Source organism: Homo sapiens, chromosome 16 (genome assembly GCF_000001405.40).
Source record: "Homo sapiens chromosome 16, GRCh38.p14 Primary Assembly".
NCBI classification, from domain to species: Eukaryota; Metazoa; Chordata; class Mammalia; order Primates; family Hominidae; genus Homo; species Homo sapiens.
In genome coordinates, this window is record NC_000016.10 from 33,964,576 (window position 1) to 33,987,961 (window position 23,386).

The 23,386-nt window shown below is 53.6% G+C and overlaps 1 long non-coding RNA gene and 1 pseudogene across 11 annotated transcripts; one reads left to right on the forward strand and one right to left on the reverse strand.

Annotated features, from left to right (window-relative positions):
• Nucleotides 1-376: 376 nt before the first annotated feature.
• LOC105369183 (uncharacterized) lies at nucleotides 377-11,320 on the reverse strand. 11 transcript variants are annotated; one of them, XR_002957915.2, is made up of 6 exons: nucleotides 10,278-11,320; nucleotides 9,406-9,628; nucleotides 9,040-9,147; nucleotides 8,211-8,937; nucleotides 1,471-1,660; nucleotides 490-1,385 (listed from the first exon to the last, which is right to left on the reverse strand). It is a non-coding gene; the product is annotated as an uncharacterized LOC105369183 (long non-coding RNA). The 11 variants fall into 11 exon arrangements; XR_951033.4 differs by adding an exon at nucleotides 9,791-9,915 and having other exon boundaries at nucleotides 8,211-9,147; nucleotides 10,278-10,366; XR_001752123.3 differs by lacking the exon at nucleotides 10,278-11,320 and having other exon boundaries at nucleotides 8,211-8,845; nucleotides 9,057-9,147; nucleotides 9,406-9,784.
• Nucleotides 11,321-11,422: 102 nt separating this feature from the next.
• LOC102724223 (sodium- and chloride-dependent creatine transporter 1-like) lies at nucleotides 11,423-19,616 on the forward strand (annotated as a pseudogene).

Here is a 23,386-nt window from a genome sequence, read left to right on the forward strand (position 1 = left end):
CATATTAATAGATGATTATGAAAATAAATATTGGGAAGACGAACACATCTCCTTACAGAAGTATTCCAAATATCTGAGGTGAATAGTCCTCCAATCAAGTAGGTGAAGTTTAAACACTCATAAGTTGATTGTGGCCTGAGGTTAGACACATAGAAAAAATAACCACTATTTGGTATTCTATAATGAGACTTCAGATATAATGTCAAAACATCATCTATGAATGAATACAATTTTACATGTTTTTGAATCTAAATTTGTACAAACACACACATACACACACAGACACATGCACACACACACGTATGTTTCTGCAATACACACTGATAAGGGAGTAAAGACAGCCACAGACTTGGAAAAAATACTTCCAAGTCACATATTTGTTAAATGAATTCTTTTAATTTGTTAAATGACTTTTATAAACAATATGCAAGTAAACTTACAATGAATCAAAACAAAGCAATGCATTTAAAATGAACCAAATATCAGGAGAGGCATCTCAACAAAAGTTATTGGAAAATTGTTAAATATGAACTTTTTGAGGGACATGTGCATTTAAATAAAAATTAGATCCCATTACTCACCTACTAGATTGGTTAAAACACACAACTCTCATAAGGATACATGGCAATATGAATGTGGAAAACCAAGAACTATCATGCATTGATGGTGGGAATTCAAAATGCTACACGCACAAAAGGAGATTTTTTTGGCATTTTTAATAGATATAAATGCAGACTTAAAATGTGATTTTGTGTCTGTATTCCAAAATACTTACAGCACTGATTAAGAAATTAATGTTTACAGAGATACCTTCAGAGGAAGTTCTATATTAGTTTCATTAATTTGATTAATTCTCTAATCATTGAAATTTGTTTACAGAATAAATGTTGTATGAAAAATCTCTCAAATAATTAAAATTTCTCAAATACACATTAATATTGTTCCTTTTCTTTAATGACTTAATGTCATTTTCTAAGCAAATCTTTAATCTAATAATCTTTGTCATCTCCTCTGTGTCAGCACAGGTGTCTCCTTCCTGGGGTTTCTGACACTCTCAGGATGTGGGTTTTTGCACTGTGTCTCTCACACAGTAATACATGACCATGTCTTCAGATCTCAGGTTGCTCAGCTCCATGTAGGCTGTGCTCATGGACCTGTCACTGGTAATGGTGACTCTGCCCCAGAACGTCTGTGCATAGTGTGTGTTATCATTGTAAGGGTTGATTCATCCCATCCACTATGCCCTTGTCCAGGGCTTTGTCACACCCACCGTGTAAAGTATTTGGTGAAGGTGTATCTGGAAGCCTGGCAGGAGACCTTCACTGAGGACCCAGGCTTCTTCACCTCAGCCCCAGGCTGCAACAGCTGAACCTGGGAATGGACACCTGTGAGGAGAATGGAGGAGTTGATAAAAGCCCCCTTGACTGAACTCAATCCCCTCCTCATCACTGGTACTTGGGAGCCCCTTACCTGTGGCAGCTGCCACCAAGAAGTGGATCCCCCAGGTACAGTCCATGGTGAGGAGCTGTGTTCTCAGGGGCTTCTATAGAGGAGGGATGTGGTTGTTGGGTGATGCTCTCAGGGCACAGACATCCAAATTTACCTCAGTGGATCTCAGGTTATTTGCATATTCATGACATAGCATTTCATAGAAGAAAGCCTGGTTAATAATAAGAAAGGGAAGATAAATGACACATCAGATTTACAAGAGTGAGATGCTGATGGTCCAAGCCCTATTCCTGTTTGAGGAAATGCATGCCCTGCTCCATTTATGAACATTCATGAACAGAGGTCCTTTCACAGAAGAACAATCCCCCTCAGGACACGCTCCTCACTGTGAACCTACATTTTATAAGCACAGAGACCACCTGGATAATTTCTGGAACCATCACTCTCCATGACACTGAGCAGGTGCCGTGGTTCTGTCCTGGATCCATCAGTCACCAGCACAGCTGACTGATGACTGAGGAAGTTACTGCTCATGTCCCACGTGAGTGACCAGCAGGTCCTTCTGAGATCTGCTGGGCACTCCTGAAACAGTGTCTCCAGCACCTGCCTGGTGTTCAGATCCCCCCGGATCTTCAATAGAAACACTCTTGTTTACAGATTTGCTCTGTGATGTGTGATTAGAGATGATTTTCTCATCTCAGGAACAATAAGAATCAGAAGCTGAAACGGTAGTTTCAAATTCTTTATGAACTCATTGCTCCCAAAATATTTGTCAAGGAATTTGTGTTTTGAATAATTTCGGGTTAATTTTGGACTCAATTTATTGGAATTTTTTGAAGTATTTATGTATTTTCAATTAATATCCATAGGTCCTCATCTTTACATATTGATATCTAACTCACCTGGTCTGTGCCCCCAACAGCCCAGACCCTGCCTTGCAAAGAGGTTCCTGCTGGGACTTACAAATCATTTCCCCCAAGCTTCTCTAGCCCAGCATGAAATGGCTGTGTCCTGGTTTATCACACTCCTTCAGTGACACCATATGCTACTGACACGATCTCTTGAAACAACTGATTAGCCTTACTAAACCTATTGAACTCTGCAAGGAGACCCAGAGCAAGGATTCAATGACACAGAAAGGAGCCCCTTCTCTGAAGCTCCAGATTCACTTCATTAGTGGAACCAAAATGAAGACAAAAACTTACAGGAGATTTGGGAGTGCCGTGTTTCTTCACTGGGCTCTTGCAGTTGAATGTTGCATCTGAGAATACCAGCAGGTGCAGATACATTCAGATGAAAGCCCACTCCATATCCACTATTCCAATAACACACATTTTCCCTTCTTCCTAATATGTAGCTTTTAGGAAGTGCCTCCTATGCTGACACTAGGCCCAGTTATCTGACTTTCTTCTCCTAGAGATTTAAAGCAAACAGGATACAGGTGGAGACTTGGGAAGTGCATGCAGGTTGTTATTTTCACTTTCTCAGCTAGGAAACCAGCAAAGTCCCCATAATAAAAGAAGCTGAGATCTATGATGGCATTTACAAGATGTTGGTCTTAAAAATCATGATGTCAGAGGCTTCACATTGCTGTACTGCCTTTGTCTCACCCTCTGTCATTGTCTTAGTGTTTCTGTATTCTCCTCAGATAGAGTCTGTGCATTGCCACACTTTCATCTTTAATCCATAGTCATCATCCTAGTTAGAATGGATTGTGCAGTGCAGGTAAGCACTGCCTGTTCTTCCAATGGAAACCTAGAGATTCGATAGGCTTCCTCTTCTGGGCTGTGACCTTGAAAAAGCATCTCCAGGGGAAAAGCTCATTTTTGGCTGTTACTCCCTTTTGTGGTTTTGGCCTCCCTGGACTATTTACGTACATCTTACCCCTTTTGGCTAACTTTACTCATTCATATAATAATGGAAGAATGGGAGAGAATCTGGAATGGGAGATTTGTCTTCCTTCACATAGGATAAGGTTCTGGAAAAGTCATTCCCTTTAGAAGCTTTTGAAGTAGGCTCCTGGTATAGTTTTCTGTAATTAATCATCTTCATTTCATCTTCAATTCTGACCCACAGGAAATTTATTTGGATTGTATATTTTAGAATCTGGAGGTTTCTGGAGAGAAAGTCCAGAAACCTTAGAAGTATAAGACCCTCTGGAATGGTCACATTTACCGAGTCCACATTTGTCTTTCAGACGTCTATAGTGGTTACCATATAAGTGCCTTCAACAGCTTGTGGCTTCTGCAGCTCCTGCAGTTTCTGCACCAGTTAAGCAAGTGCTAACTGCAATTCTGGACATGCCCATCTCTCCAGTTTTTGGAGTGGGTAATATTTCTTGCAATTTCAGTTATTTAGTAGATTCCAAAATGTATTGACATTCAGATTATGCAGATTTATTTTGACATAAAATATGACGGTGATGAAATTTATAATCAATATTTTGGAGCATAAACCAAAAGTACAATCAAAGGTCACCTTTGATGTGTTACTGGAGGCAGAATTCTGACCTTATTACATGTAGGTGGCACATCTGACATAAATAAACAGGCAAGAAAACAGAGAAAGGACCTGGCACAACACTGTGCCATGGCACAACTCTGGTTGCCCTTAAAACTTTCTCCTTCATTTCAACCTTGGTGAATCTGACAATTATGTGTCTTAGGGTTGCTCTTCTCAGCGAGTATCTTTGTGGTGTTCTCTGTATTTCCGGAATTTGAATGTTTACTTTCCTTGCTAGGTTGCAGAGGTTCTCCTGGATACTATCATGAAGAGTGTTTTCCAACTTGGTTCCATTCTCCCTATCACTTTCAGGTATACCAATCAAACTTAGATTTTTCTTTTCACATAGTCCCATATTCCTTGGAGGCTTTGTTTGTTCTTCTTACTCTTTTTTTGTCTAAACTTGTCTTCTATTTTTATTTCATTAATTTGATCTTCAATCACTGATATCCTTTCTTCCACTTGATCAAATCAGCTGTTGAAGCTCATGCATGCATCACAAAATTATTGTGCCATAGTTTTCAGCTCCCTCAGGTCATTTAAAGTCTTCTCTACACTGTTTATTATAGTTAGCCATTCATCTAACCTTTTTTCAAGGTTTTAGCTTGCTCGTGATGGATTAGAACATGCTCCTTTAGCTTGGAGAAATTTGTTATTACTGACCTTCTGAAGCCTACTTCTATCAACTCGTCAAAGTCATTCCCATCCAGCTTTGTTCTGTTGCTGGTGAGGAGCTGTGATCCTTTGGAGGAGAAGAGATGCTCTGTTTTTTAGAATTTTCAGCATTTCTGCTCTGGTTTCTCCCCATCTTTGTGGTTTTATCTAAGCTTTGTCTTTGATGATGGTGACCTACAGATGGGGTTTTGGTATGGATGCCCTTTTTGTTGATGTTGATGCTATTCCTTTCTTTTTTTTTTTTTTTTTTTTGAGACAGAGTCTTGCTCTTGCCCAGGCTGGAGTGCAGTGGCGCGATCTCGGCTCACTGCAAGCTCCGCTTCCTGGGTTCACGCCATTCTCCTGCCTCAGCCTCCCGAGTAGCTGGGACTACAGGCACCCGCCACCACGCCCGGCTAATTGTTTTTTGTATTTTTAGTAGAGATGGGGTTTCACTGTGTTAGCCAGGATGGTCTCAATCTCCTGACCTTGTGATCCACCCGCCTCGGCCTCCCAAAGTGCTGGGATTACAGGCATGAGCCACTGTGCCTGGCCATGCTATTCCTTTGTATTTGTTCATTTTCCTTCTAACAGTCAGGTCCCTCAGCTGCAGGTCTGTTGGAGTTTGCTGGAGGTCCACTCCAGACCCTGTTTGCCTGGGTATCACCAGCAGAGGCTGCAGAACAGCAAATATTGCAGAACAGCAAATATTGTTGCCTGATCCTTCCTCTGGGAGCTTTGTCCCAGAGGGGCACCCACCTGTATGAGGTGTCTGTTGGCCCCTACTGGGAGGTGTTTCCCAGTTAGGCTACACGGGGGTCAGAGACCCACTTGAGGAGGCAGTCTGTCCATTTTCAGAGCTCAAATGCCATGCTGGCAGAACCACTGCTCTGTTCAGAGTTGTTGGACAGGGACGTTTAAGTCTGCAGAAGTTTCTGCTGCCTTTTGTTCAGCTATGACCTGCCCACAGAGCTGGAGTCTGTAGAGAGAGTAGGCCTTGCTGACCTGAGGTGGGCTCTGCCCAGTTCAAGCTTCCCAATGCAGTGGCTCATGCCTGTAATCCCAGCAATTTGGGAGGCCAAGGCCCAGGTAACAACAGTGAAACTCCGTCAAAAAAAAAAAAAGCTGAGGGGATTGAGGGGATTTCTATGCAAAGTGTGGATGGTGTGTTTTAATTTCTCCTTGCTTAATATAGTATAATGTGAGAGGAGATTGATAAAGAGGAAACTATTGGAAAATGTGGAATCAGGTATTTTATAAATAAAGAAGGTTCTCCCATCTTCTGGAAACCCCATAATCTTTTGAAAAATGAAGGAATTTTAAGATTTATTTCTACATTCTAGATACATGCCTAATATAAACTTGGATTTAAGTGCAAACAGAGATACATAGAAGATGAAAATTCTGCAGCAGATCATTTGCCAAATAGGCAGTTTTATACCAGTTTGTAATTTTACCTAAGATTCAAAAGATAAATGACAGACAGATCCAAATAATAAATTCTAACATTTCAATGCTAGACAACTGGTTGAGAGGCGCTTGAACTGACATTATTCTGATGAATCATACCTCAATAATAAAACTGTATTGAATGGTGTACCTGTTCAAGAGGCTGCTTGAGTAAATAGTTTCTACCTCCCCTACTTAGGAGTCCTGCCACAACCCAACATGCTCTAAAACCTGGGGGCCACTAAGAACAAAGACAGAAGTTTGAATATTATGAAGTTATTATGAAGTTTTTGAGAGATCCACAATCACTGATGGGGTGATTGGTGAGGGTTTTCTCTAAGGGCCTAGGCTTGGAAGAGTATGGCTCTTTGTTATGATGAACAAAGAGCTGTTTTTTTTGATGAGTAGATGGCAGCAAAGACCATCAAGGAAAATGAAGAAATGGGGAAATATGGTCCAAACAGAGGGACAACATAAAGGTCCAGAAACTGACATCAATGAATATAAAAGCATATGGATTTCTTGGCAGAAAATTTAAATATTACAATCTTGTTTAATAAGCTAGTGGCAGCATGCAAGAACACTGTGAGAATTTTAAGAGATAAAAAAATTTAAAAGAGAACTAAAAAAATTTGGTGTTGAAGAATACAGTAAGTCAGCCAAAAATTTTTAGACAGCACACTGTAGGAGAGGCTCAGGCTTTCCTTTCCCCTACAGGAGGTAGCCCTGCAATTTCCTTAGACGTGAATCACTGTTTCCTCCCACCCACCTTCTAGATTCTCTTCAGAGATTCTCCCGACTCCAGAGCTCATGTTCTCACATGTTGTGCGACTTTGGGTTAAAACACACCTGAAACATTTAATGGCTGTTGTCCTTGATCATTTGATCATCATCTGCATTTTAGTTGATGTGATTTTTTTAAACCTCAGTTTGAAGGAAAGAAAAAAAAAATCTATAGACTCTATCTAGGCCAGAATTACTTCTCTCTCTTTCCCTTGGTAGCTGCGAATGTAGCCCCAAATATGATAGGAATCAATAAACACTGCAGCTGTTACAACACTTTCTTGGTCAGCTGTTCCAACAGTATGAGAACCACGGCAGCACAATTATTTTATGGGACTAATTCTGTTCCTACTGGAGACACATTTATTCTTATGTACCAGGACCTCCAGTCCATCGCAGCCTATGATTATGGAGAAGGAAAGAAACATTCTTCAAATTTTCATCATACATGTGGCAAGAGAAACCGATATTTCTGTCCACTGCTTTCTAGACCCAGGTATTGTAGCTCCTGGCCATGGGACACTGTAGTGCTCTCTGTTTGGGGGCATTTAAGCATCCTAGAGAATAGTATTATCCCCAAAATGGCCCTTCTTTATTAAATTTCCTACTATAAAACGGAAGCATAAACTACCTGCTGTTTATCTCACATCAGACTGTGGAGACCTAAGTCAATGTTTCCATTGTTCTGCTGGGGCCTTGTTTCTGGTCAACTGTGAGGGAGAAAGAACTGCTGGATCACAGACTCTTGTTCCCGTGATCACATCTCCTGTCCCTTAACTATATCTACATCCCCTCGTGTCAGAACACATTGTGCAGTGTCTCATTCTAGGAATAAGATATTCAGTAACTTGGACAGTGACTCTAGTAGCTTCTCTATGATTAAGAAAAATACATGTGAAGATAAGAGTTAATTCTTCTAAGTATAAATGACTACCTATCAGGTTTGGGCTTTGACTAAATTTTTTAAATTGTCTCCTTATGACTGGTGGGTATCCTTACAGGGTGTAATGATTTTGTTAGACAAATGTGATATCTATCACTATCAGCTCAGGCACTCGGTGAGAGGTGCTGGTCAGTCTGGTTGGCGGTATCTGTGCTCAGCCTTTATTGTACGTTAGGGAATGTGCTGATATAAAGAGAGAGGATGCTATCACTTGTGTGGCAATAATGATTAAACTGCAGAAAATCATCGTATTATGAGGTCTCCATACCCTCCTATGCAGCAGAAGAGATTTCCCTTGCTTTCAGCTGCTGGTTTCCTTACATTAAAATTTATTGCATTTCCTTTTACTGCACATTTTTTTTAAATTCTAAGATACTGTCTGCTTATTTAATTAAAGTAAGCACCAATAAATTTTAAAATTATCAATTACCTGTATAAGAAACATAAAATGGGTGTGGTGAAGATGCCGAGTAGAGATACCAGAAAACAAAACTAATAAAGAAACACATTGTGTAAGTTTAGAGTCATCACTGAGCACTGAAACCATGAGGAGCTTGTGTTGACTTTTATATTATTGAAAGTCTATTATATTTGACATCCAGAAGGCTGATCACACCAGTGAGAAAAATCTGTAGAGTGGTCCACACAGATCAGAAATTAGAAAGTGATAAAGTCACAAACTTGCACAACCTGCAGACATTCAGTGTATTCAGCATTCAGCTCTTCCCATTTCTTCAGTAAAATAGATGGGTTACATCTGCATGGAAAATGGGACAAGTATTTTGTAAGCTGATTCTCCTGGGAAGTTGCTAATGAAATCAGTCAAGTGATGCTCTGACACAGGATTGTGAAGAGGACGTTGACCCCTGGTGGTCGCTGTCATCAACACGGGATGCTCAACGCTGGTGGGTGTCTTTGTTACTGTTTTGTTCACAAGAGATTTTAAGCTGTCATGTGCTGCATGCAGGTGAGTTTTTAAGCCTCAGATGAGGAAAATAACATGACCACACAGTAGATGAGAAAATTGAAGACCTCACTTCATCAACCACATTCCACTGATGAGACCTGTTCACACAGAGAGCCAGGGATGAGCTGGGAAGAGGAAGGGGCTGGGGAAGATCATCCATAGATGGACCCATCCAGCCTGCTTGAACTCCCTGTGGAAGGAGGGTGTAAATGTTTGTCCTCAACTGATAGCGAGTATTTCAAGACCTTCACAAGCTTTCAGAAAAACAGTTTTCATGAACAAGTGCCCATACGTTACTCAGAGATGTACTTGTCATCATTTATCCTTCCTCTCTAGGCAGCACCACAGTAGCATGTTCTCAGAATTCTCCCTGATCCTCTGTGAGTTCCTGGTGCAGCTCCTGGAGGAAAAGCCTGCATGAGGGAGAGAGCCCTCCTCAATTGCAGCCCTGAGGCTGTCCCCAAAGTGCCATCAGCTCTCCTACATCCCTCTCGAGCCTCTGCTCTCTCTCCCTTCCACCCCCACCCCTTGGACAAGCAACATCTGAAAGTCTTCCCTGCCCTCGGCTCCCAGAGCTCTCTGGCGGTGGCCTGCACTCTCCCTCAAAGCGGCCCTCCCCCAGGTCACTGTCTTCCCTTCGATGACATCACGCGCCCACCCTGCGCTCCTGCTGGGCTGAGGCCCTCGGAGCCTACTTCACCGGGTCCTCTTCTCTCTTCTCTCAAAGGCCATGGGGTTTGCCTGCGGTCCAGATGGGTTGGCCCTCTTCCCCCTGTCCTGGGTCCTTGAGTGGCCCCGCTTATTTAGGCCATCTATGAGTCACTTCTCTAACGCCCCTGTCTCCAGACCAGCTTCAGTCAAAGGCTGGGCCAGAGAAGACCCTAGTGAGAAACTTCTGATGAGCAGTGTGACCTTGCCACCTCAAGGGTACCCGCCCACCGCCCCTGGTCTAAGCACAGGTGACACCGCCTGTCTCCCCCAACCACACACACCCCTTGAGGCTCCTCCTCCAAGCCTGGGTAGGGACACTGCCCCTCCCTCACCCAGGAAGCTCAGTCTGGCTTGGGCCAGAACCGCTTTTCTTCCTAAAGCTGGAGGGATGGCCGAGGGCTTAGCTTAACGGGATAAGCCATCTGGGGACTGCAGTGTCCACGATCAGATCAGGGAGCTTGAAGTTGAGGGGGGCACACTTTACCTCCCAGGCCAGGAGAATGACCACTTCCTTCCCCACCCCACCCCCAGGCTACTCTTGCCCTAGAAAATTCTAACCAAGCTGCTCAGCTGGTGGCGGAGAGGCAGCCCAACAAGCTGGCTCTTGCTGGGTAGGCCTGGGGGTCCTGGGGAGAGGAACACGGGGTGGGTGGGGGGCGGGCAGCCAGGACCTCAGACCTGAGGCCTTTGGGGAAGGGTCTGTGCACCCGCCAGGCACCAGGGGGCAGCCTTGCCTTATTCCCGCTCCAGTCCCCTCAAGTCCGAAGCCCCTACCCACTCTCATGCCAGGCAGGGGTGGGGGCCACCGGGGTCATTTACCCGGGCCCCTTCTCTGCCTTGGTGACAAAGTGGAGCCTTGCTCATCAGTCAGGCAGGCTCCCCTCTGGCCACTGTGGAGACACAGAGGCCTGTCACCTGAAGAGCTGGTCCCAGCCTCCAGCTTCCAGGGTAGCCGGGAAGCTCTAGCCCCCAGTGGGCAGCGGTGGACAGAGCTCAAGGAAGGAGCGAGCACCGGGAGGAGACGGCTGCAGCCTGCCAGGAGCGGGGAGAAAGGGAGAGAAGGGGAGGCGGAGGGCTGAGGGGGCCCGGGGGACGTCTTCCTAGGGCTGGGAGGGGCAGGCCGGGAAGCCTGGGCCACACTAGGAGCGGGCGACCCTGGGGTGAGGGGCGGCCCGGAGCACTGCGGGAGGAGCTGGCGGCCGCCCCAGGTAGCAACCATCCTGCCTCCCGCTGGAGCGGCGACTCCTCCCCGGGAGGAGGGCAGGGACAAGGTGGGCGGACTGTGACGAGCAGGGCGGGAGGGAGAGGGGGGCCGGCCAGCCGTGGGGGTGGGGCGATAGTGACATCACCCCGGAGTCGGTTTTTAAGCGGCTGCCGGCCGGGAACCGGGAAGAGAGGAACAGTCGGAACGCGGTGGCGAGTCGCTGAGCCCGCCGCGGCCCCGAGAGCGGCTGCAGCCGCCGCCGCCCAGAAGGAGAGGGCGAGGCGCGCCTGAGCCGCCGCCGCCGCCACCGGAGTCTCGGGTGAGCCGGGCAGCCGCCGCGGGCCCCGGCCGGGGCCGGGGGCGCGGGCCACAGGCCCCTGCTCCAGCCGCCGCTTGCAGACTGCGAGCGCCGATATCGCCCGTGCCCCGCTAGGCTGAGCCTCGGGTCGGCCGAGGAGCCGTGGCAGCCGCCACCGCCCGAGCCGCGGGCAAGAGCCTCCGGAACCGCTGCCGCGGACGCCTGGCCGGGCCCCGCCGACGCCCGCGCGCCCCCGGGCCCCTGACACACAGGAGATTCTTCAGGCTCACTTTCAAGTGCTTCGTGGACTGCTTCTGACTGCGCCGCCTGTGACCCGCACCCCGCCGCTCTCCCGCCGCCCCGTCCCCCGGCCCGGCCGCCCCCCGGCCCCCGGCCGGCCCGCGCCCTCGGGGCCCTCCCCGGTGCCGCCGGTGCCCCGCGCCTGACCGCAGCCCCCCGCAGGGTGCCGCGACCCCAGCCCGGCCGTGAGGCCCGCAGGGGCCATGGCGAAGAAGAGCGCCGAGAACGGCATCTGTAGCGTGTCCGGCGACCAGAAGAAGGGCCCCCTCATCGCGCCCGGGCCCGACGGGGCCCGGGCCAAGGGCGACGGCCCCGCGGGCCTGGGGACACCCGGCGGCGGCCTGGCCGTGCCGCCGCGCGCGATAGACCTGGACGCGCCAGATGGACTTCATCATGTCGTGTGTGGGCTTCACCGTGGGCCTGGGCAACGTGTGGCGCTTCCCCTACCTGTGCTACAAGAATGGCGGAGGTGAGCTCCCCCGCCCCCCGCGGCCCCCTCCCCCAGCAGGCCGCCGGCCCCTGACGCCCGACCCCCAACCCCCGGAGCCGCCGCGGAGGGGTGAAGTCCGGGCAGCGGTTGGCCCCTGGGCACGCGGGGTCGGGGCCGCCCCTGGTCCACCGCTGCTGCTCGGTGGCTGGGCCGTCCGCCTCCACCCCTCTCGCAGTCATGTGCCTGGCAGGGTGAGGGGCGGGGGCCGGCGATGCCCGCGAGGCTGCCCCCCAGACTCCTGGGCTGGAAGGAGCGATTGGCCGCCGAGGTGGGAAAGCAGGCCTGCGCCTTGGGGTCTCCTCGAAGTAAGGAGCCCTGGCTGCCCCTGCGGGTCGGGCACACAAGCGGCACATTGTGTGGGCCCCCCACGTGTGCACACACACGAACACACACACAATGGGCCACTCTGTCCCTCTCCCTGCCCTCCCCTCCCCTCGCAGCCCTCCCGCTCCTCCCCTCTGGCCCGGGCCTGGAACACTGGGTACCTGAGCCAGGCTTGGGAAGCCTGTGGCCTGGCCCGCCTGGCGCCGCCACTGGAAACACTGCATGCACGTCCCATGCCCGCCCGCCTGCCCGGGCCCAGCTTAGCAAGAGCGATGGGCACGCGTGTGTCCTGTGACTACAAAACAGCACTGGGGTTTCTGGAAGCCGAAGTGACCCAGTGATGGGTGGGAAACAGAGGTCCAGAGCAAAGGCCTTTGCCCAAAGTTAGGAGAAGGATGCTGGGACCTGGAGTCAGGCAAGTTGCAGCCAAGCTCGGCCTCTGAGTAGTGGAGCGAGCCCAGCCAGGGCAAGGGTAGGAGGCCCAGAGAGGAGAAGGGGGTAGTGGCACCCAGCTCTCCCTGCCCTTTTGCCACCCCCACCCCAGCCTGCTGGCCAGGGCCTGTGCCATGCCCTGCCTATCTCCTGTAGAGCCTGACTCCCTGGGCTTGCTAAGGCCGGCCTGGCCCCTCTTCCCGCACCTGTATCCCTCTGTCCTTGCACGTGGCCATCCCACCAGCAGGGGACTGTGACCCACCCGCCCTCTGCCTTGGACCTCACACTTGCAGGCAAGCGTCCAAGTGCAGGACAGTCGCGCTCCCTGCCTTTGGATGAGCCCCTCAGGCCTGATCACCCAGCCTTGGCGCACATGCACACACGCACGTGCCCTCACTGTGCTGCCTGAAACAGGGAATTGCGGCACTAGGGACAGGCTGCGTGTCTGAGCGTGCGTGTCCTCCATGGCCATCACCCCAAGTGACCGTGGGGGTGGAAGCCCTGTGGGCCTAGTGCCTCTCTGCCACCCAGGGAATAGGACTTCAATGGCCCAGGGGCTACTGTAGCACCTCTTCAACACACTGAACCCAGCCCCTCAAGACCCTACGTGGGGCCCGAGTCAGTGGCCACCCCTACACTGACTCACCCAGTGGGAAGTTGTGATGGGGCCTTTGGAGTCTGGGCTGGCCCGCTGGGCCTGGGCAGCCTGGCTGGGGGCCACCCTGAGTCCACCCTGTGCCTCCACCCCCAGGTGTGTTCCTTATTCCCTGCATCCTGATAGCCCTGGTCGGAGGAATCCCCATTTTCTTCTTGGAGATCTCGCTGGGCCAGTTCATGAAGGCCGGCAGCATCAATGTCTGGAACATCTGTCCCTTGTTCAAAGGTGAGCAGCCCTTGGCCAGCCTCAGGGACTGCCCCCTTTTCCCAGCTGGCTCCCACTTGAGAAATCTTTTCCTGTCCTGAGCACCAGGCCTGGGGCCACGTGATGGCATCCCAGTCTCGAGGGGGGAGCCTGGAGGAGATGTTCAGGCCGCACAGTGAACTTGGGGAAGCAGGGACTAGAGGGGGCATAGGCAGCTCCACAAGGCAAGGACAGGCCAGGCATAGCCGGGCTGGGGATGGGACCTGCCCAGCACACTTGGCTCTCTAGGTAGGTCCTACTATTACTGTCCCCAAGGACGCTGGGGCACAGACAGGTGGAGCGACGTACTGAGGTTGCCCACTACGGGGGCAACTGTCTCCAACACTACCTCAGGCTACTAGAAACTCCCCCCCTCCCCACCACCACCACCACCAGCTGCTGAGGACTGGAGCTACTGGGTGGCCAGGTGGAGGCTTGGACCTCCTGGAACCGCCATGGTGGCAGTGGGACCCACAGAAGGGGCCAGGTGTGTAAGGCTGGAGACTCAACAGCACTTGGTCAGATGGGGACAGGAGGAGAGGGGCTCGCTCTGCCTTGGGTCTAGGGGGCGGCTGGAGGAGAGGAGAGAGGCTGGGGAGTCAGCCCAGTGTTGGGGCTCACACAAGGGGGAGTCCAGGGGAGTCAGGAGCACCACAAACAAGGCTCCAGAAGGACAGACGGTGGGAGCACTGCCAGCCTGGGTGGGGAGATAAAGGGGTGGCAGGGGAGGTGGCCAGGAAAGAATCTACATGGCAAGGACTTCCCGGCCCCAGGCCTGGGCTATGCCTCCATGGTGATCGTCTTCTACTGCAACACCTACTACATCATGGTGCTGGCCTGGGGCTTCTATTACCTGGTCAAGTCCTTTACCACCACGCTGCCCTGGGCCACATGTGGCCACACCTGGAACACTCCCGACTGTGTGGAGATCTTCCACCATGAAGACTGTGCCAGTGCCAGCCTGGCCAACCTCACTTGTGACCAGCTTGCTGACCGCCAGTCCCCTGTCATCGAGTTCTGGGAGTGAGTCCAGCACCTCTGGGCCAAGCCCATCCCATCCCCCAGGTCTCCCTCATGTTGCCTGGCTCCAGGGGAATGGCCCTGAGAGGGGACCAGGGTGTTTCTTGGCAGTCCCTCCTGGACCCTGCCTGCCCTTGTCTGCCCTCGGAGAGTCCTGGGGCCAGCCCCAGGGGCTGCGCCAGGTCAGCCTTGCTCCTGGGTTCGGCAGCCTATCACTGTCCTGGTCACTCCCGCCTGATGGGGGAGCTGGGGCTGCATGTGGGGTGGGATGGGAGTGGCCTCCCAAAGGCCAGGGGCTCGTGGGCTCCAGGCCCAGCCCAGATGGACAAGAGGGCCCACTGAACCCTGGGCTGTGGGAGAGAAGGGAGCCACGACTCCTGGGGGTGGACCCTGTGGCTCCATCCTCTGCTGGCACAGGCCTCATGGGACCTCCCTCCCTCCCCTAGGAACAAAGTCTTGAGGCTGTCTGGGGGACTGGAGGTGCCAGGGGCCCTCAACTGGGAGGTGACCCTTTGTCTGCTGGCCTGCTGGGTGCTGGTCTACTTCTGTGTCTGAAAGGGGGTCAAATCCATGGGAAAGGTACCACTAGAGGCATGCAGGGGGGAGGGTGGCTCAGCCCTGGGAGCTGGATGTCTGTGCCAGGCACACCCGTGGCAACGGGAGGTGACCAGACAGAGTCTAGCCCTAAGGAAGGGGGAGGTACTGAAAGCCAAGCAACACTCCCCACCCTGCAAATCCAGGGCCCAGCAGCCTTTGCTCCTGTGGGGAGAGGCCCCAGCAGGCACTGTCCCTTCCCTGTGCCCATCACCCCCACCGGTGCCCTCCTGCCAGTCTCTGACTCTTGTGACAGTCTGCTGGACCTGGTCTGGCCATCTGTTACCTGCCTATCTTGCCTTGGGGACACAGAGCAGAGTCTGGCCACATCCCTTGGGGGCTCCTGGTCAGGCTGGGGAGTCACCTGAACAAAGAAGACAATGTCCAGAGCTGTGGGACATGGCCAGCTCCCTGGGGGACAAGGTCCCCAGAGCAGCATGTGGGAAGAGGGGGCAGACAGTGTGGCAGCCGCATCTTGCCTGCCTCTGCCTGGCCCAGTTCCACTCTTCACCTGCTCAGCCCCGACCTCTCTCCAGAAGAGGAGGGGGGCCCGGCCCTGATCCAATATCCCGCTCCCTGCCTGGGCCTCCCATGCGTGCACTGCCCACACACTCACACAGCTCTCACTCCCCACATGCTCCATGCCTCCTGTCCCCACTGAGGAGAGCTCCCAGAGGCTCGCCCGCTCCCCACTGACATGCATCCCTGCAGACAAACGAGGCGCCCAGAGAGCTTCCCCACTGCACTTGCCAGGGCTGCCGGGGCCCAGCCTTGCCCCTAGCTTCCTCTGGCGGGAGCTATGGCTCGGAGGAGAATGGGGACCTCTGAACATACCTGCCCGCAAGGGGGACCGGAGGTGCTCGGAGTGGGCTTGTGAGGGAGGTGGTGCCGCAGTCCCCGCTGAGCAGCCTGGCCCCCCAGATCGTGTACTTCACTGCTACATTCCCCTACGTGGTCCTGGTCGTGCTGCTTGTGCTTGGAGTGCTGCTGCCTGGCGCCCTGGACAGCATCATTTACTATCTCAAGCCTGACTGGTCAAAGCTGGGGTCCCCTCAGGTGAGGTGGAGGTGGGGAGGCTGCAGCAGGGTGTTGTGGGGGAGCCCTGCAGGCCCCTCATGCCTGCACTCTCCAGCCCTCCTCTAGGTATGGATAGATGTGGGGACCCAGATTTTCTTTTCTTATGCCATTGGCCTGGGGGCCCTCACAGCCCTGGGCAGCTACAACCGCTTCAACAACAACTGCTACAAGTAAGCACTGCTGCCCTGCCACCCGTGCCCTGTCCCGCCCTGCCCTGCCCAGCAGCCTAACCCATCCACTCTGGCCCCTCCACCCCTCCGGGACGCCATCATCCTGGCTGTCATCAACAGTGGGACCAGCTTCTTTGCTGGCTTCGTGGTCTTCTCCATCCTGGGCTTCATGGCTGCAGAGCAGGGCATGCACATCTCCAAGGTGGCAGAGTCAGGTAGGGCCCTACCCCCAGCCCCGCCTCCAGAGCAGCAACTGCCACCCAGATGCATGATGTACAAGAACACGCAATAGAAATGCTGAAAAGTGATGAGGATTCAAACAGAACTTCTCAGATTGTGGGCCTGTGGGGGCAGGTCCTGGGATTTTTCAATGTTGACAGAGACAGGACCTCCCAGCCCCTGCTGCATGACCCAGGGTTGACAGCACCTCAGAGGCAGGCGTGGGCATGGGCGTGAGTGTTGCAGGCAGGGCTCAGGGTGAGCGCAGGGCACGACATCGGCTGCAAGGTCTAGAGCCTGCACCTTTCCCACAGGGCCGGGCCTGGCCTTCATCGCCTACCCACAGGCTGTCACACTGATGCCAGTGGCCCCACTCTGGGCTGCCCTGTTCTTCTTCATGCTGTTGCTGCTTGGTCTCGACAACCAGATTTGCATGGGGCTCTGGGACAGGGAGCCAGGAGAGGGGCGGAGTGAGGGCTGCGGGCAAGGAAAGGGGTGGAGGGTGGTGCGGGGCTCGGCCTGAGCTAGCCTGGCCACAGTTTGTAGGTGTGGAGGGCTTCATCACCGGCCTCCTCAACCTCCTCCCAGCCTCCTACTACTTCTGTTTCCAAAGGGAGATCTCTGTGGCCCTCTGTTGTGCCCTCCGCTTTGTCATTGATCTCTCCATGGTGACTGATGTGAGTGGGGTGGGGGGTCTGCCTGTGACTTCTGGTGGCCGTCTGCCATCCTCCCTGACTGGGCTCTGTCCCCCAGGGTGGGATGTATGTCTTCCAGCTGTTTGACTACTACTCAGCCAGCGGCACCACCCTGCTCTGGCAGGCCTTTTGGGAGTGCGTGGTGGTGGCCTGGGTGTATGGTAGGTCATGGCTGAGGGCTGGGCTGGGGCATGGTGGTGGGGAAGGCAGGTCTCCAGCTTGGCCCTCCCGCCTCGCCTTGCCACAGGAGCTGACCGCTTCACGGACGACATTGCCTGTATGATCGGGTACCGACCTTGCCCCTGGATGAAATGGTGCTGGTCCTTCTTCACCCCGCTGGTTTGCATGGTAAGGGCTGGGGGAGGTGGGGCGGGGTGGGGGGGGCGGGGGGGGTGGGGGCCCCATTAACCACGGCATTCTGGTCTGTAGGGCATCTTCATCTTCAACGTTGTGTACTACGAGCCGCTGGTCTACAACAACACCAACGTGTACCCGTGGTGGGGTGAGGCCATGGGCTGGGCCTTCGTGCTGTCCTCCATGCTGTGCATGCCACTGCACCTCCTGGGCTGCCTCCTCAGGGCCAAGGGCACCATGGCTGAGGTAAGGCTCCCTCCCGGCCTGCCCTCCCCTCCCCTGCTATGAACATTCAACCCAGCCTGCTTCCTAGCCAAGGAGTGGCCCTGACTAGGGTGGCAGGCAGCAGGAGCTGGAGAGAGGCAGAGGAAGTCACCGTGGGGATGAGCAGGTGACTCTGGGGGCTTCAACATGTCCTCTCCTGCAGTGCTGGAAGCACCTGACCCAGCCCATCTGGGGCCTCCACCACTTGGAGTACCGAGCTCAGGATGCAGATGTCAGGGGCCTGACCACCCTGACCCCAGTGTCCGAGAGCAGCAAGGTCGTCGTGGTGGAGAGTGTCATGGGACAGCTCAGCTCACATCACCAGCTCACCTCTGGTAGCCATAGCAGCCCCTGCTTCATCCCCACCCCACCCCTCCAGGGGGCCTGCCTTTCCCTGACGCTTTTGGGGTCTGCCTGGGAGAGGAGGGGAGAAAGCACCATGAGTGCTCACTAAAACAACTTTTTCCATTTTTAATAAAACGCCAAAAATATCACAACCCACCAAAAATAGATGCCTCTCCCGCTCCAGTCCTAGCCCAGCTGGTCCTAGGCCCCGCCTAGTGCCCCACCCCCACCCACAGTGCTGCACTCCTCCTGCCCCTGCCACGCCCACCCCCTGCCCACCTCTCCAGGCTCTGCTCTGTAGCACACCCTTGGGTGACCCCTCACCCCAGAAGCAGCAGTGGCAGCTTGGGAAATGTGAGGAAGGGAAGGAGGGAGAGACGGGAGGGAGGAGAGAGAGGAGAAGGGAGGCAAGGGAGGGGCAGCAGAACCAAGACAAATATTTCAGCTGGGCTATACCCCTCTCCCCATCCCTGTTATAGAAGCTTAGAGAGCCAGCCAGCAGTGGAACCTTCTGATTCCTGCGCCAATCACCACCAATATCAATTGTGTGAGCTTGGGTGTGAGTGCACGCGTGCGTGAGCACGTAGAGTATATATAGATCTCTATCTCTTAGCAAAGGTGAATACCAGATGTAAATGGTGCCTCTAGGCAAAGGAGGCTTGTATTTTGCACATTTTATAAAAACTTGAGAGAATGAGATTTGTGCTTGTATATTTCTAAAAAGAGGAAGGAGCCCAAACCATCCTCTCCTTACCACTCCCATTCCTGTGAGCCCTACCTTACCCCTCTGCCCCTAGCCTAGGAGTGTGAATTTATAGATCTAACTTTCAGAGGCAAAACAAAAGCTTCGAGCTGTTGCATGTGCGAGTCTGTTGTGTGGATGTGTGTGTGTGGTCCCCAGACCCAGAATGGATTGGAAAAGTGCATGGTGGGGGCCTCGGGGCTGTCCCCACGCTGTCCCTTTGCCCACAGGTCTGTGGGGCAAGAGGCTGCAATATTCCATCCTGGGTGTCTGGGCTGCTAACCTGGCCTGCTCAGGCTTCCCACCCTGTGCCCTGGGCTGGGCACAGCCCCAGGAAGGGACCCCGGACACGGCTCCCACATCCAGGCTCAAGGCGGATGCACTTCCTGCACCTCCAGTCTTCTGTGTAGCGGCTTTAACCCACGTATGTCTGTCACGTCCAGTCCCGAGACGGCTGAGTGACCCCAAGAAAGGCTTCCCTGACACCCGGACAGAGGCTGGAGGGCTGGGGCTGCGTGAGGGTGGTGGGCCTGCGGGGACATTCTTACTGTGCTAAAAAGCCACTGCAAACATAGCAATAAAAACCTGTCATTTTCCAAAGCAGGCCTCTGCTTCTGCCTCTGCTGCTCTAAGGGGTCGAGGTGCAGGAAGTAGGGGGAACCTCCTCCAGCTGGAGCTGCTGTGGTGGGCAAGGCTCTACTCTGGAGGCCTCTGAGGCCAGCACCCTTCTGGGGACTGGGAAGGGAGCAGGGAAGGCAGCAGCCCAGGGAAAACCTTGTCCCCCTGGAGCCGAGGCACCTGGGGAGAGCAGGATGAGAGAGCTGGAGAGCAGCCACACCCACGGGGAAGGATGGGTGTAAAGCCATGGGTGCTGAAATTTTCAAAATGTTACCCCAAGAATTTGTCACTGAACAGGTGCCTTGTGTCACTTGGGCCAGGCTGATAGCAGCAGAGGGGATAACTCTTTGCATCAGGGATCAATTTTGAAGGTGGAGCCAGTAGGGGTTGTGCATGACCAGGATGCAGGGCTCAAAGAGGAGTTAAGGACAACAGATTTGGCCTGAGCAAGAGGAAAGATGGAGCTGCCAGGTCCTGCAATGGGGAGGCAAGGAGAGAATGGTCCGGAGTCAGCCTTGGGTGTGTCATGCAGGAAGTGTCATCCAAGTGGAGATGTCTAGTTGGCAGGTGGACACAGGAGTTCCAGAAAGTACTGGAGATGGAACTTTGCAAGTTCTTACCACATAGAGATGACACTGAAAGCCCTGAACCTGGGTGAGCTCACAGGGACGCCGCAAGTCCCGGGACACAATGAGAGGGGCAGAGGGAAGATGCGGCAGCAATGGGGGAGGATGCCTGAGAGCTCCTGGTGGGGTCCTGCAACCTGAGCCAGTGAGGACCCCTCACAGGTCAGGGAGGAGCAGTGGCTGGCTCCATCTGTCCAGTGCTGCTGCTGCTGCTGCTGCTGGTGAAGGACAGTGACCTGCAAATGCTCACTGAGTCTGGCAAGGGTCACAGGGGCCTGGTGAGGGTGGCTTGCATGAGGGGTTGCGTGTGAAAGGCTGGTTGGTGTGCGATTGAGAAAAGGAGTGGTGGCAGCCCATTGTCATCTGCAGACGAAGGGAGAGACAACAACATAGTTTACCCAGACAAGGAAATATGAGCCGGCCTGGAAAGGGAAGGCACTCCAACACACGACACAACATGGCTGACCCCTGGAGGGCATTTCTGTGAAATGATCCATCATAAAGAGACACTTGCTATAGGGTTCTGCTCCTGAGAGAGAGACAGGGCCTTACATGAGAGGAGGGAGATCCACAGAGACAGAGGGCAAGGGTGGGTGCCAGGGGCTGGGGACAGGGTGGGGAGTGTTGAGTGGGGACAGAGTGTCAGTTTGAGAAAATAAATTCTAGAGGTGGACGGAAGAGGTGGCTGCGCAACACTGTGGCTGCACTTAATGCCACTGAATTGCACACTTAACGATGGTGAAAATGGCTCATTACATATACATTGATGACACTATATATATGTGTGATATACATGCGTTTTACCATGAGAAGAGGCGGAGAGGAATTGAAGACAGTGAGTACAGACAGGTCCTTCAAGGGGCGGGACCCATGCACAAGATGAGCATGTGGCACCCCACCCTGAAAGGGCTGGGCACGATGGCAGGGCACAGCAGGCAATGCAGTGGGTGGCTCAGGCAAGCACAGAGAGCATCAGGGATTGGAGCCTGTGAAGGGGGAGCAGGTGACCCCTCAGAGCAAAGTGACAGCTTGGGCTGCTCCCTTTGCGTCCTGCCCAGGACTGCTATCGTGCTATGGGAGAACCCCCAGAGGCCCTGCTCCTCAGCAGGCAGCACCCCCTATGGAGGGGCTTTACCCCTAAACTTCTGGAGCCAGGAGAGGGACCTGGCTTAGAATACGGCCAACCAAGAGCCTGGGTGAGAAATACATGGACCAGACAGGGAGCAGAGAAAGGAGTGGCAGCGCAGTCCCACCCTAGCTCAGCTGGGGGCTCTGGAGCCTGCTCTGGCCCCCATCTCTTCGGCAACCACTGTTTCTAGTTTTCTTTTTCTCCCCGAGAAGCCTGTCCTCTCACCATGCCTGTGCCTTCAAGAACCCCACCTGGCTGGCAGCTCCCAGATCTCCAGCCTGGCCCTCCTTAGCTGCAAAGGTGCTTCCCAACGTCGGCAAGACCTCTCCCTAGGGTGCCCCAGGCCTTCACACAGCCCCTGTCTCCAACCGACTCCAACTGTCCTGCAGCCCACGGTCACCCTCAGGACCCCTGAGCTCAGGCCAACTGCTTTATACACTGTCAGCCAGGTCTCTGCCTGGATGACAATCACCCTCTGCTAATTGTTCTCCACACCTCCAGGCCAAATGCCCTCCAAGCCACCTCATGCACCACAATGACACCAAACACACAGAAAAAAGACATTGAAAAAAGGAAACTTCACAGAAGCATGTCATTTAAAGTGGGTTCTGAAATGGAGACACCATTACCTCAGGACTTAGCTCCCGCATGAGGGGTTAGGACACAGAGATCAACAAGCAGCAGGCTTTGCCCTCAAGCAGCTCACAGTCTAGTGGAAGATGGGTAAGAAAACAGATCAGGATGCCCACGGGTGCAGATGCCCTGGAACAGAAGCTGATCCAGGAAAGCGCAAGCCTGCAGGCCGCCCTCCAGTCTAGGCTGGGCAAGCACCTCAATTTTCATCTCTAAGAGCCTGTGCCCACACCCCCGCCCCAATGTTGTTCCATCACTCCACTAGAAAGGGCGCTCCAGAAGCTGGCCTCGTGCAGCTTTCTGTCTGCTGCTAGCCTAGGCAGAACAGCGGAAGAAGCCATCAGGGCTGGTGAGGGAAGCACCCATTTGGACTTTAGCCTTTCAAAGCTCAGAGAAGGGTGAGCTCAGGGAGGCCCAAGGTAGCCGAGAACACTTCCTGGAGAAGTGGTATCAGCCTTCGGCCTTGGCACAGCAACCAGAGGGTATTGCCCACGTGTCCCCTACTCCCTCAGACACCACCTCTCAGACCGCCTGGAAAGGGACAGAACTTGTCACGAGGCAGCTGTGCTCTGAGCACAAGGGAAGGGCGACAGGATGCTAGAGAAGGGAACCACTGGCCTGGGCCTGGGCAGGGCAGGCAGAAGCAAGCATGCACAGCAGGCCATCAGCTACCCTGCCAGCATCAACATCCTTCAGGGGTCCCCCCAGTTCCAGGAGACACACCTCTAACCTGCTCCCCTGACCCTTCCGCCCAGTCCTCATGCAGACACCAGGCATGGCAGAGGCCCTGCAGGGTGGGAGCACTGTGCTGCGGGTGGGGACTGCCTTCCTCATGTGCTACTGGAGAGCAGCACAGTGCAGGGGCCTGGGCACTGGCGCCAGGCAGGAAGCCTCGGTTCTGGCCTGGCTTGCTGTGGGCCTGGAAGACACAGCTTTGAGGGAGCCACGGGAGGGACGCCCTGGAGCCAGCACCAGCACAGCGCTCTGGTGGCAGGCACACACCCAGCACGTTCTCAGGGCCAAGGGCCCCAGCCCCTTTCTGCCTAGCTCTGCCCTGGGCCAGCTCCAGGTCACTGCCAAGGACAAGTCTCCTCTCCCAGCTGGCATTAGTCAGAGGTCATCCTGCAAACCTTCAGGAGGGGGTGGGGCAGGGAGTGACTAGTGGCATTCTGCCACGTTCTGTCTGTCCCAAATGTGACGAACAGGAACCCAGAGAAGGCAAGCGAGTCCTCTACCCAGAAGCCCTGCCGGTTTACTGAGCCTCCCAAGCTGCCCACACCCAGGGAGGCAGACAGGACACACACTCGGTGGGTGGCCCTGAAGCGAGGCCTGGCCCAGCCCGGGGAGCAAGAGGACAGAGAGGGCAGGGCCTTTGAGAACAGGTGTGAGCCTGGCCTTCAGTGGTGGAAACAGGTTGAAGGCCTGTGGCCCCTTGGGGGCTCCAGGCAGGAAAGAAAGCAGAGCCCTCTCCATGGCCACAGTCACACACCGCA